Genomic DNA, 19,382 nt, shown 5'->3' with positions numbered 1-19,382 from the left:
CACAATTCCACATGGATGGAGAGGCCTCACAATCATGGTGGAAGGCAAATGAGGGGCAAAGTCACATCTTACATGGCAGCAGGCAAGAGAGCTTGTGCAGGGAACTCCCATTTATAAAACCATCAGATCTTGTGAGATTTATTCACTACCATGAGAATAATATGGGGGAACTGACCCCATGATTCAATTATCTCCACCTGGCACCACCCTTGACACGTGGAGATTATTACAATTCAGGGTGAGATGTGGTTGGGGACACAGCCAAACCATACCACCCCCACCCCTCACAAGCCTGCTCCAGCTAGAAAATGGCAGCCTAGCAAGACAGGAAACTTTTATATAATAACTGCTCTATTCTAGTAAACACCACAGGAATAAACCTGTGGTCCCACCAGCAAAGGCTAAGTGGAAAGCATAGACTTCTACCTACAGCTACAACGAGTGCCCCAGCACCCCAGCCAGGATGGTATAAGAGAAGGCCAAGTAGGGAGCTGGGATTTTTATCCCCACCAACCAATAACGAGGCCCTACCCCTTAGCTTTCCCCTGCAGGATCAGTAGAGACTCAGGAGGGAGCCACAACTCCCACCCTCACCCAGCAGGATGGAGGAGCCCCTTCCCAATCCCCAGATGTGGACAGAGGCTGAAGGGGGAGCCTGGACTTCTATCCCCACCTGGCACTAACAAGGCAGCAGACCCTCTTCCCCTGCCAGAGCAGCATCAGACAAAGACAGTCAAACAGGAGGTTTAAACATGATTTAAAAAAAATGCCTGGCTCCAATTCTTATAAAAATCATTCATTATATCAAGAACTGGGAAGATTTCAAACTGAACGAAAAAAGATAATCAATAGGTGCCAACACCCAGATGACACAGACGGTAGAATTATCTGACAAAGACCTTAAAGCAGTAATGATAAAATGCTTCAACAAGTAGTTATGAATGCACTTGAACAACTGAAAAAAACAGGAAACCTCAGGTAAGAAACAGAAATTTCAGCAAAGAAATAAAAGATATAAAGACCAAAGGGAAATTTTAAAAACTGAAAAATAATATAACCAAAATAAAAGGCTACTGATGCTGTTGATGGGATCAACAGCAGAATGGAAGGAAGTGAGGAAAGAATCAGTGAACTCTACAGAATAGAAGTTATAGAGAGATTACAATCAGAAGAGAGAGAAAGCAGACTGAAAACAAATGACCCTCCGGGACCTTCAGGACTACCACAAAAGATCTAACATTTGTTCAATGTTGTCCAATAAAAACAGGTGAAGGAGGATAGGGCTGAAAAAGTACTTAAATAAATAATAGCTGAAAACTTCCCAAATCTGGCTAAAGAGCTACAGTTTCAAGAAACTGAGTAAACCGCAAACATAACAAAACATTGCCGGGCGCGGTGGCTCACGCCTGTAATCCCAGCACTTTGGGAGGCCGAGGCAGGCGGATCACGAGGTCAAGAGATTGAGACCATCCTGGCCAACATGGTGAAACCCCATCTCTACTAAAAATACAAAAATTAGCTGGGCGTGGTGGCGGGTGCCTGTAGTCCCAGCTACTCGGGAGGCTGAGGCACGAAAATTGCTTGAACCCAGGAGGCGGAGGTTGCAGTGAGCTGAGATAGCGCCACTGCGCTCCAGCCTGGCAACAGAGAGAGACTCTATCTCAAAAAAAAAAAAAAAAAAAATACACACCAAGATATGTAATTATTAAAATGCTGAAAACAAAAGACAAAGAAAATATCTTAAATGCAGCCAGAAAAAAAACAAACAACACCTTACTTAAAGAGGAAAAACTATTCAAATGCAAGCAGATTTCTTGTCAGAAATCTTAAAGGCCAGAAAGAAATGCCACAACATGTTTCAAATATCGAAAGAAAAGAACTGTCAATCCAGACTCCTGTAATCAAGAAAAATGGTATTCAGGAATGAAGAGGAAATTCTCAGATGAAGGAAAACAAAGAGAATTTATCATCAACAAACCTACCCTCAAAGAATGGCTAAAGGAAGCCCTTGGAAAAAAAGGAAATGATAAAAGATGGAACCTTGGAACATCAAGGTGAGAATGCAGCATTCAAAAACGTGTAAATACAATAGGTTTTCCTTTTCTTGAGTTTTTAAAATTATGTTTGACCGCTGAAGCAAAGATTATAACAGTGTCTGATGTGGTTCTAAAGGAAATATTTAAGACAATTATAAACAAAAAGTAAAGCTATAAATACAAAGGGAAGATAGATATACAGGGAAGTAATGTTTATATAAAGGGAAGTAATGTTTCCATACTTTACTCAAATAAGTAAAATGACAATATCAGTAGTCTGTGATTTTATACACACATACGTACATTTACATACAATACCCGTAACGACCACTAAAAAGCTACACAAAGAGATAAACTAAAAAACACTGTAAATAAACAAAAATAAAATTCTAAAAAATGTTCAAATAATTCACAGGAAGGCAAGAAAAAGAAACAGAGATAAACTAAAAACAATAAAAATAAGATGGCAGAGTTAAGCTCAAACATAGTAATAATTACTTGAAATATAAATGGTGTAAGTATACCAATTAAAAGACAAAGACTTGGCTGGGCACAGTGGCTCACACCTGTAATCCCAGCACTTTGGGAGGCTGAGGCGGGAGGATCTCCTGAGGTAGGGAGTTCAAGACCAGCCTGACCAACATGGAGAAACCCCGTCTCTATTAAAAATACAAAATTAGCCGGGTATGGTGGCTCATGCCTGTAATCCCAGCTACTCAGGAAGCTGAGGTGGGAGAATCACTTGAACCTGGGAGGCAGGAGGTTGCGGTGAGCTGAGATCGTGCCATTGCACTCCAGCCTGGGCAACAAGAGCGAAACTCCGTCTCAAAGAAAAAAAAAATAAGACTTCCAGAGTGGATTTTAAACATAACCCAATTATAAATTGTCTACAAGAAATTCAACCCAAAAATAATTAAATAAGTGAAAAGTAAAAGGAAGAAGTGGTAGACAAAATAGTGGCCCTCACAAAGATGTCCAAGCCCTGATCCTGGCATCAGTGAGTATGTGACCTTATATGGCAAAAGGCATTCTGAACACATAATCAAGGTTAAGGGGCTTGAGATGGAAGAGTACCCTGAATTATCCAGGTGGGCCTGGATAACGCAATGGACATACAATCTAATCACATGCATCATTCGGAGAAACTTTAACAGCTGTGGTTAGAGAGGAAGCTGGCTAGAGAAGGATCAAAGAGATGCAATGTTTCTGGCTTTGAAGTTGGAGGAAAGGGGCCAGGAGTCAAGTGATGTGGGCAGCCTCTGGATGCTGGGAAATATATTCTCCCCTAGAGCCTCCAGAAAGGAATGCAGCTCTGCTGATACCCAAAGACAGGAGAATACACATTGTTTTCAAGTGCCATGGACCATACAACATATTCAGGGCCTGTCTTAGTCCATTTAGTGTTGCTATGGAATACTCGAGGTTGGATAATTTAAAAATAAAAAGAGGTTTATTTGGCTCATGGTTCTACAGATTGTACAAGAAGCATGGCACCAACATCTGCTTCAGGTGAGGGCTTCAGACTGTTTCCACTAATGGCAGAAGGGGAAGTGGGGGTGGCATGTACAGAGATCACATGGTGAGAGAGGAAGAAAGGCGTGGGGGATGCCAGGCTCTTTTTAACAACCAGCTTTCTGGAAGCTAGTAAGTAAGAAGTCAGTCACTCTCTCTGCTCCCTGCTCAGGGAGAGCATTAATCTATTCAGGAAGGATTTGCCCCCATGACCTAAACACCTTTCATTAGGCCCCACCTCCAACACTGGGGATCAAATTTCAACATGATATTTGGTGGGGACAGATAATCCATATCCAAACTAAAGCAGGGCCAGAAAACCCCAACACATTTAAAAGAACTGAAATTGTACAGAGTATGTTCTCTGACCACAATGTAATAAAATTAGAATTCATGGACAGAAACATTAGAGGCAAATCTCTCAACACTTGGAAACTAGACAACACACTTCTTTCTAAACAGTCCATCAAAAGAGGAAGTCTCCAGGGAAATAAATACACTGAACTAAATAAAAATGAAAATACAACATATCAAAATTTGTGCAACAAAAATTAACTCAAAGTAGATCATGGACTTAAATAAGAAGCTGTAAAACTTTTAGGAAAAAACTCTTTAGGATCTGGGAATAGCCAATGAGTTCTTATATTTGACACCAAACAACAAGAAAACTATCCATAAGAGAAAAAATTGATAAACTGATAAATTTTAGCCAAAATTTAAAACTTTTGTAAGACATATATCTGAGAAAATATTAGTATCTAGATTATATAAAGACTAGAGTATGTCAAAACTCAACAGTGAAAAAACAACAACAACAAAGGATCCTATTTTAAAATGGGCAAAAGACAGAAAAAGACATTTTATCAAAGAGGTTACATATTTCATTAGCCAATAGGGAAATTCATATCTAAGCCACAATGAGATAGCATTTCACATACATTAGAATAGTCAATATAAAAAAGTAGCAATATCAAATGCTGGCAAGGATGCAAAGAATCCAAACTCAGTCATACATTGCTGGTGGGAATGTAAAATAGTACAGCTACTCTGGAAACAGTTTGGCAGCTTCTTTAAAAACTAAACATGCAACTACCATATGACCCACTCACAGCACTCCTAGGCATTTATTACAGAGAAATGAAGATTTATTTTCATACAAAATCTGTATACAAATGTTTACAATATCTTTCTTTTCTTTTTTGGCAATAGCCACAAACTATGAACAACTCAGATATCCTTCAGTGGGTGAGTGGTGAAACAAACTGTGGTATACTGTGCTGTGGAGTACTACTCAGCAATAAAAAGAAACTACTGATACGTGCAACGACCTGGATGAATCTCCAGAGAATTACTCTGAGTGAAAAAAAGCCAGTCCCCAAAGGCTACATATTGTATGATTTTACTCACCTATCATTTTCAAAGTGACAAAATTATAGAAATGGAGAACAGATTAGTGGTTGCCAGGGGTTAAGGAATTGGTGAGGTAGAAGGGAGGTGAGTGTAGCTATCAAAGTGCAAGTTGAGGGATCCTTGTGGAGATGGAAAATGTTCTGGATCTTGACTGTACCAATGTCAATATCCTGTTGTGATAGTGTACCATCATTGCAAGTGTACACAATGTGATAATGTGCCACATTGCAAGATATGACCACGAGGGGAAACTGGGTAAAGGTTACATGGGATCCTTCCGTATTATTTCTTAAAACTGGTGACTCATGCCTGTAGTCCCAGCTACTCAGAAGGCTGAGGTGGGAGGATCACTGAAGCCCAGGTCGAGGCTGCAATGGGCCACTGCACTCCAGCCTGGGCAACAGAGTGAGACCTTATCTCAAAAAAAAAAAAAGTTGAATTTTCAAAAATAATATGTAATTATATCCACAAAGATAACAATACTTAACACTTAGGAGTCAACAGCAAAAACCAGAAATTACCCTTGGTAGGTTAGGCAGAAAGGAATGTAATACAGGGAATTAGATCACCACAAAATTGTCGAAAGGCCTGGAGGAGTAACATCTAGGCTGATCTTCTGGGTACAACTGCTAAATCAAGCACCACAGTATGGACACACCAAGGAAGTATCTACCTCCACGACCTGGAAGCCAGGAACCAACCAGGAGGCCACGGTACTGTCAGCCCCAGGGACCTATCAACGCAGCCACAATCCATGATAACAAAATGAATGCTCTGTACCCTCCCACAGACCCATGAGGTAGTAGCTAAGTGGGAAGCGGAAAATCCAAACCCCTCTGTGTCCTTCCCCTCACTTTCCCCTTCCAAATCTCCCAGTCACGTGCCTGGCTAAAGCCAAGTCACGTTTACAACCAAACTACAGTGGGGTCTGGGAAAGGTAGTCTTTAGCTTTTTAACCTCCAGATGTAGATTCTTTTGCCCTTCTGTCAGGGAGATGACAAGTAGTGAAAAAGCAAGCAAAACAGCAAGAAGTAATAGGTCTGCATATTCCAGAAACAAAAAGGTCCTAAGGTAACTTCATGATCCAAAGATGAATATCCAAATGTCCATCAATATTGGTAACCAAATAAACATTAAATTAAACAATACGATAGCATATTAACTTCTCAAATTAGAAAATACCAGTGTTGCTGAGAGTATAGAGAAATAAGCAAAAATTTTGCATACTCTTTATTCTAGAAATGGTACCTTTCAGGAATTAAACGTCCATACCTATAATAAATATTTGGTTACAAGGATATTTATGTTACTTACAATAGCAAAAAAAAGAACCTAAATACCAAGAAGAGGGACTGTCTAAACTATGGTACATCCATATACTGAAAAACTGTAACCATTAAGAATGATGTTGAAGAAGACTGAATGATAAGGAAAAAAAGTTATGATTTCCCAAAAAAATGTACATGAAACTCCATTTTTCACCTTCCCCCTCCACCAGAAAGTAAAAGAAATTATACAGGATAGAGAACATGTTAACAGTAAGGAGATTATGGAGATTAATATTTATTTTCTTTATGCATAGGCTATTTCCCTGAATGTTTTACTGAAAATACGTACTACTTCTGTAACCAAACGAAAAAAAAGTAGTAAGAATTTTTTTAACCAACTCATGAAGAATAGTTTCTCATAACACTAGTTTATTCTGGTAAACAGAAATAGAAATTACAAGTTATAATATTCAGTAGCCATTCCTTTGACTCTGCTTTTCTATTTTCCTTCTCCACTACCAATTTATCCAAGTTGCCACATTTGCCTACTTAATTCTGAATTTACTCACTCCATTCCATCCACTCAAACTTGCAACCTCTTGTCTCCTCATTTTCACTAAAACACTTGCCCATATGTACGTTTCTCCTGGCATATTATCCACAGCTAAGTATCAACTGGCACACTTTTCTGAGCCCTCTCTCACACAAGTTCTTAAAGAACCATTCCCAACACTTGCAAGGAAATAGGCAAACCCACAAACATAAACTTTCGTTAAGATAAAGTCAAACATAAAAAGACCAGTCTACAAGCTCATACTTAAAACTGGATACATACTCCTTACAGCCACACATTCTTACAGACTCAGGGAATCAAGGAGAGAGGTCTTTCTCTTTCATGTCAGCGTCCTCTCCATTCAACTTCATCTTTCAGTCTTCTAAGCTGAACACAGAATTGCACCTTTTGTTTCATTCCTAGAATGACAAACCTTACTCTTTCGTGGTACTGAGCACTTAAATAAATTAGTTTATACTTTTAAATGCACTCTCACTAGTCTAAAACTCTAGGTAGGAAGGGTCCCTATTTGTTTTGCTCATCTTTGTAGCCAATGCCTAAGAATACGCTCCCAGTAGCATTCAATAAGTAATGAATAAACGACTGTATTATTACTGATGCATGATTCTGTCAATACAGTCAAAGCACACACTACGTTCCCAACTTATAAGTAAGGAAAACGAGGCTGGGGCGGTTCAGCGGCGAGTCAGCGCAGACCCAGGAGGAGAGCGGGGTCTCGGAGCTGCAGGAAGTACGGTCAGCCATGCAGCGGCAGGGCTGGGGGGCATGCAAGGTTCGCGCTTTGCAGACTCTCCGTAAGGGCTAGTGTCAATAAATCGAGTTACGTGCGGTGGTGAGCGGACAAGCTAAGTTGGCATATAGTACGTGGTTCAGTCAGTATTTATGAATGACTCAAGACACAAAAATAGCTTCATAAACAGTGCTTTGCTTGAGTTTGTCCGCTCACTACCGCACGTAACTCGATCCGGAGAATTAATCCGTGGCGAATTCTCCAATAACTGCGCGCGCACAGTAAACGGAGAAGCTGAAGCTGGGAGATGAGTTGATCGTTTTACAGAAGCAACCAATAAACTCCCCAGGCCGGGACCCAAACCCACCGGAACAGCAACTGGAAACCTACATCCTTGGTGCACCAGGCCGTCCAACTCTTCAGCGGAGGCCTGCAGGTGGCGCTGATCTCACCACGTTTCCCCTCCACAGGCCAGGGGCCAGGCCTGGCTACCGGGCCCGCGACCTCATTCATCTGGCGTCCGCCGGCCCCGCGCGCCGCGCAGGCGGGGGCCGTGGCCACCAAGCCCGGGCGCAGTTTCTCTCCGCCCACGGCAGGAGCGAAGGAAGGCCCTGGCGCGAGCGGGTAAACTGCCCACCGGGCGGCCCACCCGCTGCGCCCCCGGCCCGCAAGAGGCAGTCCCAATAGGTTGGCCCGCCTGGCCGAAGTCCGCCCGGAGCCCGCTCACCTGTCAGCCCCCACTGCCGTAAGTCCTGCTCCTGCACCCGCGCCGCCTCGGCTCGGCCCTCAGTATGAAGCCGCAGTAAGAAGCCAGGGGCTTGGCCCCCGCGGCTAGTAGCGCCCGCGCGCTCCATCGGGCCGGTAGAGGCCCCGCCCCGCGCGGCCAAGCGCGCACCTCCCTCCCAACTTCCCAACGCGCGGGGGCGCGCGACTGCGCGCTGGGGCCCACCTACGAGCGAGGCGCCGCCAGAGGGCGCGTCCTGCCAAGATATCCGGAGCGGAGCTGGTGCAGTCACCCTTCCGGACAGGCAGTTCTTGCAGTGCGGAGCGTGGAAGGGCTGCCCAGTTCTCACCAGTCGTGCTTCTGAAGCGCTAGGCGTCTGATCACGCACAGGACGTCTGATTGCCTGAACTGCCCGTCAAGGAGGTGGCATGTGTTCATCATTCATTTATTATTTAATCAACATCGACTATCATGTGTCAGACACTCCGCTGGGCCCTGGGGGTTCTAGAAGTAAGACTTGTTCCGTGCCCTCCAGTGATTCACGATAAGATCAAACTGTTCTTGTTCGGTTTACCTAGTGATAAATTGATTTAGTCCCTGAAATCCCTTTCTTACTGCCTGTGACCTGTAGGCCAAAATTGGGAACCTCTGAATAGTAGTAAATTAAAATCACCAAAGACGTCATTGTGGCAGTGGGTATCTCAAGTGCATTATGGGGAGCAGATTGAGGCAATGTGTTCAGTTAGGGGTCACCGTGACTCAGCATCAGCTTTGAGTGGATTTATGATGTAGTATACCACTAATATAAATATGATAATAACAAAATAGCTGCATTTATTGATGAAGTTCTGGGTGGTGTCCTAAGGGCTTTAAGTATATTTTCTTATTTAACCTTCACAATAACCAATAATTAGGTGTTATAATTGTCCCCACATTGTAAATGAAGATATTGGGACTTGTAATGGTAATTGGCAGTACTGGAACAGGAACGATATTATTCTCTGGCTAATGTCATTAGAATAGTATTCTCATTTAGGTTAATCTTGGTGCTTCCTTCTTCAGTAAACTCATGTTAAATTTGTACCCTCCATTCTCATCTTCCTCTAAAATAAAAGGGAGAAATTTGTTCTGAGCTAGAAAAGGGATGACTTCAGATTGGTTTATTCATAAAAACTCAAGCAAAGCACTGTTTTATGAAGCTATTTTTGTGTCTTGAGTCATTCATAAATACTGACTTTCATGCGCGTCCGTGTGAAGAGACCACCAAACAGGCTTTGTGTGAGCAATAAAGCTGTTTATTTCACCTGGGTGCAGGTGGGCTGAGTCCGAAAAGAGTCAGCGAAGGGAGATAGGGGTGGGGTCGTTTTATAAGATTTGGGTAGGTAAAGGAAAATTACAGTCAAAGGGGGTTTGTTCTGTGGCGGGCAGGAGTGAGAGGTCACAAGGTGCTCGGTAGGGGAGCTTTTTGAGCCAGGATGAACCAGGAAAAGGACTTTCACAAGGTAATGTCATTACTTAAGGCAAAGACGGGCCATTTAAACTTCTTTTGTGGTGGAATGTCATCAGTTAAGGCAGGAACCAGCCATCTGGATGTGTACGTGCAGGTCACAGGGGATATGATGGCTTAGCTTGGGCTCAGAGGCCTGACACTGACTGAATTACATACTATGTGCCAAGCACTCTATGGTACTGAAGATAGAGGCCACTTATCTCCTGGATCTTACATTTTAAAAGGAGGAGACAAGCAATAAATAAAAATCAGGTAGTGAAGGGGTGGCCTGCCCCTCCACACTTGTGGGTATTTCTCGTCGGGTGGAATGAGAGACTTAAGAAAAAAAAGAGACACAGAGACAAAGTATAGAGAAAGAAAAGTGGGCCCAGGGAACCGGCGCTCAGCATACAGAGGACCTGCGCTGGCACCAGCCTCAGTTCCCTTAGTATTTATTGATCATTATCGGGCATTTCTCAGAGAGTGGGATGTGGCAGGACAATAGGGTAATAGTGGAGAGACGGTCAGCATGAAAACATGTGAACAAATGTCTCTGCATCATAAACAAGGTAAAGAAAAAAGTCCTGTGCTTTTGATGTGCATACACATAAACATCTCAATGCCTTAAAGAGCAGTATTGCTGCCCACATGTCCCACCTCCAGGCCTAAGGTGGTTTTCTCCTATCTCAGTCAATGGAATATACAATCGGGTTTTACACCGAGACATTCCATTGCCCAGGGATGAGCAGGAGACAGATGCCTTCCTCTTATCTCAACTGCAAAGAGGCCTTCCTTTCTCTTTTACTAATCCTCCTCAGCACAGACCCTTTATGGGTGTCAGGCTGGGGGACGGTCAGGTCTTTCCCTTCCCACAAGGCCATATTTCAGGCTATCACATGGGGAGAAACCTTGGACAATAACTGGCTTTCCTAGGCAGAGGTCCCTGCGGCCTTCCGCAGTGTATTGTGTCTCTGGGTACTTGAGATTAGGGAGTGGACTCTTAACAAGCATGCTGCCTTCAAGCATTTGTTTAACAAAGCACATCCTGCACAGCCCTGAATCCATTTAACCTTGAGTGGACACAGCCCATGTTTCAGGGAGCACAGGGTTGGGGGTAGGGTTACAGATTAACAGCATCTCAAGGCAGAAGAATTTTTCTTAGAACAGACCAAAATGGAGTCTCTTATTTCTACTTCTTTCTACACAGACACAGTAGCAGTCTGAGCTCTCTTTCTTTTCCCCACAAGGTAGGATTAATGCTAAGACAAAAGTAAAACACAATCGCATAATGGGGCAATAGTAATTTTGTACAGCAGCTTTCCTGCTTGGGTGTTTTCTCAAAACAAACCTGAAGAGAGATTTATATCCTTTGGTGGCTTCTCCAGAGGGACCTCTGTCCTATGTGGCTGCTCATGAGTGGTTTTTGCATCTTGGTCTCCATGTATGACTTATTTCCTCTCCTCTAGATTCTACCAGTAGACTTATCTGCTAAAGCAGCCATATCAAGCACTTGCCACTTAAATATAAGCCTGTTTATTATTTTTAACTTAAAGTACATTTGTTGTAACAGAATACCAGATGATAGAGTCCTAGCTATAAGCCAGGTAGACTGTTGGTATACTAAGTCTGGTACCTAAAATACAGCTAAGAAAGGTAGCTGAGAGACTCCAGGTCTGCCAGTGAGGTGACACATAGAAAAGTTTTGCTCTGAATACTGTATGAAGAGATCTGTAGATGATCAGGATGGAAGGAAGGAGGCAGTTTGGAAACTATTGCAGTAGTCTGGGCAAGAGTTGATAGTTTTGGGGCCAGCATGGTGATAGTGGAGTGGTGAGTAGTGGTCTGCTACTAGATCTATTGAAAAGATAGAGCCTATAGGATTCACTGATTGAGCATCTGGGAGAAATGAAGAAGCAAAGGTTGGGTTCAGGGATGTGGCCCGAGCAACTGGTGGGATGTGTTGGATTTGTACAAACAGTGCTGGGCACATAGTGTTGTACTTGAGCGAGTTAGAGAGAACGCCACACTTTGAGACGAATTAAGAGTCTGTTTATTTAGCCAGCGGCTGAGAGATGGCTAACGCTCAAAGTTCTCTTGGCCCTGAAGAAGGGGCTAGATTTTCTTTTATACTTTGGTTTAGAAAGGGGAGGGGGGGTCTAGTTAAAACAATTTTCCAGAAGTAAAGTAGGCAGAAAGTTAAAAGGATAAATGATTACCAGAAAGTAAACAGTTCTAGGTGCAGGGGCTTTAAGACTCTTACAAACTGATAGACGTGGGGCTTTGGGCGTTATCAATTGGACGAATTCCTGGGAACTGCGGATATTGCTCGCCACAGTATTTTATCAGTTAATTGAATTCTTGGATGTTCTGGGAGTCAGCTTGCACAAGTTATGTCTTTGAGGAAGGGGCTGCCAGTGAAAGAGCCAAGATGAAGTCTGTCTGGCTCTCTTAGCTAAGGGACAGTCAATTCAGGTGGAAACAAGGCTAGGTGATTAAAGGAAAGAGAGAATCTAAAAACAGGGTTAGTAAAAACAAGGTTAGGCATTACAATAGTATGCCCTCAATAAATATTGTTGAATGTTTGAATGAGGTGCCTGTGGAACAATTTTAAAATCTAGGGCATATGATTGTTATAACTTTGAAGTACAGAGAGTGCATTTCACAGATGGGCAAACCAAGGCACAGAAAGTTTAGGAAGCTGGTCCAGTGTTTTCTGTGAGTCGTGATTAACTCCCAGAATAAAATTTAGCCTCAACTCATTTTTCATTCATTGTTCAGGTTATACAATCATGCTGTTTTTGTTAATTGTTTTATTCCTCCACAGAAAGGATATGTCCTTTGGCAACAGCAACTCCATAAGATTAATGCTAACCAACTAACACTGTCAGTGGGACTTAGCATGTGCAGACATTACCAAAACAAGCATGGATTAAGCACAGATTAAGAAACAAATTATGTTTGCTGTTTGTTGTATCCTTGCTCTGTTAGGTAACATCAGGGCACCAGTTAGAAGCACCTAGTGAGTCAGATACGGAAATTGGATAAAAGCTGTGACCAAAGTAAACATTTATTCAGACCTCTTGAGTAAATGAACTTGGAACTTTGAGCTTAGGTTAGAATTAGGTCCGTGCCCATGGGTGGAAGATTTTTGTGCTGGGATGAAAAACACTTAACTTGGGTTTTCTTTCTTGCAAGAAATGAAAAACTGTGTTTTGACTTTTGATGCCAGTATACCTCTTTGTCATGAAATAACATGTAATAAATTTAGAACCCAGAAAGCCAGGGAAAATATACCACAGTATAGAAGTATAGAAAAAAAGTAAGTTGGTTTCACAGGACTCTTGCCCAGTCACCTCAGAGAATTGCCACTCCCTTTTACTATCAAAGGTAAGGTTGTAAAATAGTAATATTATCAAGTTAATCTTTGAGAACATAGTTTAGAAATTGTAGGCATCAAAATTTGCCCACGGTCTTTTTGCTTGAAAGGACAGTGTTTTCCTTTTTAACTGGATGCCTTTTGACTGTCATGCCATGCCATCACATTGGTCACCCAGAATTTCATTCTTTATGTTCTCCAACCAGCAGTGTAACGTTTATGCAATCTGCCCAGCTAGTCCCTGAAGGCTTTTGAGTTTGCCAAACTGGAAATTTAACTTTTGTGACATATTGATGGCAGTGACGGCCTATCTAGAGCAGCTGCTGTCATGATGCCACTTGCAATGGGGGTGGCACACCAGGGCTGCCAGCTCCATGGAGCTGGGGGAACCAGGAACAGGTGGAGGCCCTGCCTCCTTCTGAGTTGGCAGGGCAGGAGCTTCCTGCTCCCCAGGTACAGCTGTGGCTGCCCAGCTGCAGCTGCAGACCTGGGCATCCCTGTGCTCTTTGGGGCTAAAAGCAGGCAGGAGCCCTACCCTCTCAGGCACAGCTGCAGCTGCCTGAGTCATGTCCACCAACTCGGCCTCCCTGTGCTCTTGGGTTCCTGGAGCAGGCAGGAGCCCCACCCTCCTGGGTGCAGCTATAGCTGCTCAAACCACAGCTGCAGACCTGGGCATCTCTGCACTCTTGGGGGCCCTGTAAGACCTCCCACCCCATTCCTGCAGGCTAAGAAGTGTCTCCTCCCATTGCCTGGCCTCTTTCTGCTCCCAGCACCCACTCCATTCCCAGAGCAAGGTTGGAGCTGAGGCTGGGTGCTATTGCAGCCTGGCCAGGTGTGCACCCACTCCAGGCAGCACTGACACATGGCTTTGGCCCCCTCAGGACTTTGGGTGCCAGCATGGGAGGGAGGCCAAGGGGGTGCTGGGGCAGCTCAGCCTCTGTGCTTGCCTGCAGGTGCCCCTTTGCACAAACAGTTTGGGTGCTGTGAATGCCAGCAGGAGGCAGTCTCCTGGGTGGAAGGGAGCAGGTCACCGGTGAAGACCTACCCTCAAGCTGGGGAGGGCCTGAAGCCTGGAGGCTGGGCTGCTGGTCCCAAAAACCAGAGTGAGAACTTGTGTTTTATCTGGGTGCCTATGGACCAGTTGGCGCACACTTCCTCTCCTCTGAGGCCTGTAAAAGCCCCAGACTCAGCCAGACTTGAGACAGTGGGATAACCAGCCGCAGAGAGGAGCTACCCACCCCAGGGTCTACTCTCTGCTAAGAGCTGAGTTGACAATGATGACCTGCCAGCTGTGGAGAGGAGCTGCTTACTCCAGGGTCTCCTCTCTGTGAGAGCTAAGCAGACATTGGGACAACCAACTGCAGAGAGGAGCTACCCACTCCAGGGTCTCCTCTCTGCTGAGAACTGAACACTCAATGGGACAACCTGCCTGTGGAGAGGAACTATCCAATGTGGGTCTCCTCTGAGCTGTTCTGTCACTCAATAAAGTTTCTCTTCACCTTGCTTACCCTCCACTTGTCAACTTACATCATTCTACTTGGACGCAGGACAAGAACTCAGGACCCGCCAAATGGTGGAGCTAAAAGAGTTGTAACACAAACAGGGCTGAAACATGCCCATTGCTTGCCACATTGTGGGCAACAAGAAGGAGAGAAGAGAGAAGGAGAGAGGAGCTGCAGCCCTTTGGGAAGCCCAGACCTAGGAGCTCACTGAGCCAGGGCTGTGACACCCTCTTTGGGGCTCTTTAGCTCTTGGCATCTCCAAGCTTCCAGGCACCACTGCATTCTCCAGTGCCAGCCATGAAATCTGCTTGTGGCACCCCTGGTCCAGCTGGAGCCTCACAGGGAGTCAGTGCCCATACTGGCACCTGGAGCTGCCTGCCTTGCCACAGCTGGCATGCCTGGCTGTGCATAGTGGCTGGACCTCATATTTGCTCACACACCCCTCTCTGCTCTGCATCTGGCTGGCCCTTGGCTGGCATGGGATCCAGGCTGGTAGCATGAGCCATGTGCAGCCTGCCAGGCTGAATGGACCAAACAAGCCCAATAGGCTTGAGCAAAACTTGTGCAAAAGTACCAATGGCCACAGAGGTTTCTGTCTCACAAAGCAACACCCCAAGAATCCCGTGACAATATTTCCATGTAGGGGACAGGTTGTCTCAATAATATACCATAGGAAGCCAAAATGTTTCTCATGATTCACCCTACTCTAAAATATTTTTAGGCAATGTAAAATTATGACCCTAAGAACTCTCTATGACCTTCTTCTTCCTCTGATTGACAAGAATCCAAAGCCATTTTTTTTACCCTAACCCTATAAAGCCTGGGTTTTAGTTTTGAAAAATGAGCATACCTATTCTGGGTTCTGTTGCACATGTATCTATCCCTGAGGCACAGTTATAACTTTGATGCAAGGGGGTTCCCCACCTCTATCCCCTCAAATTGCTCAAAAATGGCATGTCTAATTAGGCTTCCTAATTAGAGGGTTTTAACAATCAGAGTGCTTCTGAAAGGCCCATAATGCATAGTGAATTATGAGGATAATAGTAGCTATCCTATAATGCTGTTGTAAAAATTAAATGAAAATTTTTTCACAAGAAACTAAATACAAATTTGAATGTCCAAGGTATTACGAAGGACTGAAAATCTTCACTTGGGAATGAGCCTGGGGATCACTCAAGTATCCACATCTCATCAGTGGAGAATTAAGAAATTGGAAGTTATCCCTCATTATTGAGGTTCCATGGTAATCTCATTTGCTTGGGGTGTCTACAGGCATAGTGTTTTCCCCATATGTGTGGCCCACAGATATGGGTCATAAAAGTAAACAGAAATACACACACACATACACACACACACACACACACACACACACACACACAGTGTGGGATATCTACTCCATGGTGGGCTCTAACCAGCTTTGATAGATTGTATTACTGTTCCTAACTATCCACTTTCTCCCCACAAGATGGTTATACATTTATGCCCTTAGTCATGTGACTTGCAGTGCTTCCTAATAGGAAGAACCCCTGTGATTTGCCTTGGACAGTGGAATATGAGTGGATGTGATTTACCCTAGTATATAAGTTGAAGCTTTAAATGTGCTTGCCCAAATTATTCCTACCCTCTGCCATGGAAACTATACAAATGAAATAAGGGCCATGCTGGTTAAAATCTTTCATAATTTTTTCATGTCAGTATAAATTCATCTCATTAAATATAATATGTAATATAGTCCTTCCCCATCTTGATGAACGTTTATGAAGTCATTTCAAATTTTTCACTATTACTCCATAAATATAGACAATTGTTATTTGTCCATTCAAAATAAATTAGTAAAAACATTTTTAAGTTAGAAAACAAAATAATTTTTTACAATTAATGCTGACTAATACTTGAACTCCAACTACATGCCAGGCCACGTGTGGGCACTTTACATGTGTTATAACATCCACAGGTTCTGCGGCTTAGGACATGGATGTCTTTGGGGACGATGTTTTCAGCCTACCATGATGGCTGTGATTTATCTCCTCATCTTTTTTAGATATGCACTTTCTCTTCCTCCTCTCTGGGTAACAAAGTACCTAGCACATAGCAGGCATAGAATGGATGCTGTTGGGGTGATCAGACCCAACACCAGATCCTGGGGGTGACAAAGTCCGGTAGAGTCAAAGGATTGAGAAAACCACAGTTTGAGAAGTAAAGTGGGAGCAGGGGGCCATCACAATTGTGGAGGCTGCGAAGGCTCCGAGCTCTGGGAGCCCACGCTGTTTATTGGTAATCCAACAGAGAATCAGGTGGTGAGAATGTGGGGGTCAAAAGAGCAGGCTCATGATCTACAGCTGTGACGGTTTAGCATTTATTTATTTATTTTTTTTATTGATCATTCTTGGGTGTTTCTCGCAGAGGGGGATTTGGCAGGGTCATAGGACAATAGTAGAGGGAAGGTCAGCAGATAAACAAGTGAACAAAGGTCTCTGGTTTTCCTAGGCAGAGGGCCCTGCCGCCTTCCGCAGTGTTTGTGTCCCTGGGTACTTGAGATTAGGGAGTGGTGATGACTCTTAACGAGCATGCTGCCTTCAAGCTTCTGTTTAACAAAGCACATCTTGCACCGCCCTTAACCCATTTAACCCTGAGTGGACACAGCACATGTTTCAGAGAGCACAGGGTTGGGGGTAAGGTCACAGATCAACAGGATCCCAAGGCAGAAGAATTTTTCTTAGTACAGAACAAAATGAAAAGTCTCCCATGTCTACTTCTTTCTACACAGACACGGCAACCATCCGATTTCTCAATCTTTTCCCCACCTTTCCCCCCTTTCTATTCCACAACCGCCATTGTCATCATGGCCTGTTCTCAATGAGCATGTTGGGTGCACCTCCCAGACGGGGTGGTGGCCGGGCAGAGGGGCTTCTCACTTCCCAGTAGGGGCGGCCGGGCAGAGGCGCCCCTCACCTCCCGGATGGGGCGGCTGGCCGGGCGGGGGGCTGACCCCCCCCACCTCCCTCCCGGACGGGGCGGCTGGCCGGGCGGGGGGGCTGACCCCCCACCTCCCTCCCGGACGGGGCGGCTGGCCGGGCGGGGGGCTGACCCCCCACCTCCCTCCCGGACGGGGCGGCTGGCCTGGCAGGGGCTGATCCCCACCTCCCTCCTGGATGGGGTGGCTGCTGGGCGGAGACGCTCCTCACTTCCCAGACGGGGCGGCTGCCGGGCGGAGGGGCTCCTCACTTCTCAGATGGGGCAGTTGCCAGGCGGAGGGTCTCCTCACTTCTCAGACGGGGCGGCTGGGCAGAGACGTTCTTCACCTCCCAGACGGGGTCGCAGCCGGGCAGAGGCGCTCCTCACATCCCAGATGGGGCGGCGGGGCAGAGGCACTCCCCACATCTCAGACGATGGGCGGCCGGGCAGAGACGCTCCTCACTTCCTAGATGGGATGGCGGCCGGGAAGAGGCGCTCCTCACTTTCCAGACTGGGCAGCCAGGCAGAGGGGCTCCTCATGTCCCAGACGATGGGTGGCCAGGCAGAGATGCTCCTCACTTCCCAGATGGGGTGGCGGCCAGGCAGAGGCTGCACTTTCGGCACTTTGGGAGGCCAAGGCAGGCGGCTGGGAGGTGGAGGTTGTAGCGAGCCGAGATCACGCCACTGCACTCCAGCCTGGGCACCATTGAGCACTGAGTGAACCAGACACCATCTGCAATCCCGGCACCTCCAGAGGCCGAGGCTGGCATATCACTCACGGTTAGGAGCTGGAGACCAGCCCGGCCAACACAGCGAAACCCCATCTCCACCAAAAAAATACGAAAACCAGTCAGGCGTGGCGGCGCGTGCCTGCAATCGCAGGCACTCGGCAGGCTGAGGCAGGAGAATCAGGCAGGGAGGTTGCAGTGAGCCAAGATGGCAGCAGTACAGTCCAGCTTCGGCTCGGCATCACAGGGAGACCATGGAAAGAGAGGGAGAGGGAGACCATGGGGAGAGGGAGAGGGAGAGGGAGAGGTTGAGGTTTAGCATTTATATGGAACATGTTCTGCTACTTGAGATAATGGGAATACAACCGCTCTAGGAGCTTGGAGGGCTAGAAGCAAGGATCCAGCAAGTCTACACACATTCCAGAGGACATTATGTCAGACATGCAAGCCCTGCCTCAGCTTTCTTCCCAACACTCAGCTTTTTCCCAACAGACACTGTGCTAGAAATGACTCTTGGACTAGTCAGGATTGACTTATTAAGGTTTACTACTGAACAAATAGCTCTCCACATTTTAATTCAGCAAAAAGTATATTTCTCACTCATGTCACAGTCCAATGCTTGTCAGCCACCTTTCCTTTGCAGCCCTCCCTCAAGATTCAAGCCTATTCTATCTTACAAAGATGCCATTTAAAAGTGGCCTCTGGGGGGTGGAGCCAAGATGGCTGAATAGGAACAGCTCTAGTTTACAGCTCCCAGCATGAGCGAAGCAGAAGACAGGTGATTTTTGCATTTCCAACTGAGGTACTGGGTTCATCTCACTGGGGAGTGTCAGAAAGTGGGTGCAGGACAGTGGGTGCAGTGCACTGACCATGAACTGAAGCAGGGCGAGGCATCGCCTCACCCGGGAAGCACAGGAGGTCAGGGAATTCCCTTTGCTAGTCAAAGAAAGGGGCGACAGACAGCACCTGGAAAATTGGGTCACTCCCACCCTAATACTGCGCTTTTCCAATGGTCTTAGCGAACGGCACACCAGGAGATTATATCCCATGCCTGGCTCCGAGGGTCCTACACCCACAG

General features: G+C 45.4%; 1 protein-coding gene across 38 annotated transcripts in view, besides 3 other annotated features; it reads right to left on the bottom strand.

Annotated features, from left to right (window-relative positions):
• The window catches only part of CHD1L (chromodomain helicase DNA binding protein 1 like), a 123,016-nt gene that overhangs the window by 44,675 nt on the left and 58,959 nt on the right, over window positions 1-19,382 (bottom strand). For 36 of the 38 annotated variants that reach the window (NR_145686.2, NR_145682.2, NR_046070.3 and 33 more), the window contains exon 1: window positions 8,258-8,404. The exons of 1 other annotated variant lie outside the window; for it this stretch is intronic. Coding sequence is in view for 4 of the 37 variants with exons in the window: in NM_004284.6 (NP_004275.4) it covers window positions 8,258-8,384 (127 nt within the window). In the remaining 33 variants the exon portion in view is untranslated. Of the gene's footprint in view, window positions 1-7,897; window positions 7,949-8,257; window positions 8,405-19,382 lie in introns of those variants that run through there. One more of the 38 variants, NM_001348452.2, reaches the window with a different exon arrangement.
• Window positions 7,953-8,572: a silencer, noted in NCBI's record as "silent region_1279". NCBI's record gives its function as "represses an Ori minimal core promoter by ATAC-STARR-seq in GM12878 lymphoblastoid cells {active_cell/tissue: GM12878}" and the evidence as "EXISTENCE:reporter gene assay evidence [ECO:0000049][PMID:35858748]".
• Window positions 12,775-12,919: an enhancer, noted in NCBI's record as "145 bp enhancer 9 fragment used in the MPRA reporter construct; PK_construct_2155". NCBI's record gives its function as "activates an SV40 promoter by MPRA in HepG2 cells {active_cell/tissue: HepG2}" and the evidence as "EXISTENCE:reporter gene assay evidence [ECO:0000049][PMID:23512712]".
• Window positions 12,840-12,853: a transcriptional cis regulatory region, noted in NCBI's record as "HNF4 motif; enhancer activity is reduced when this motif is scrambled". NCBI's record gives its function as "necessary for full MPRA enhancer 9 activity {active_cell/tissue: HepG2}" and the evidence as "EXISTENCE:site-directed mutagenesis evidence [ECO:0005528][PMID:23512712]".

This window comes from Homo sapiens, chromosome 1 (assembly GCF_000001405.40).
Source record: "Homo sapiens chromosome 1, GRCh38.p14 Primary Assembly".
Taxonomy (NCBI): Eukaryota; Metazoa; Chordata; class Mammalia; order Primates; family Hominidae; genus Homo; species Homo sapiens.
Note: the sequence above shows the minus strand (reverse complement) of the source record. Positions and strands in the feature narration are given on the sequence as shown.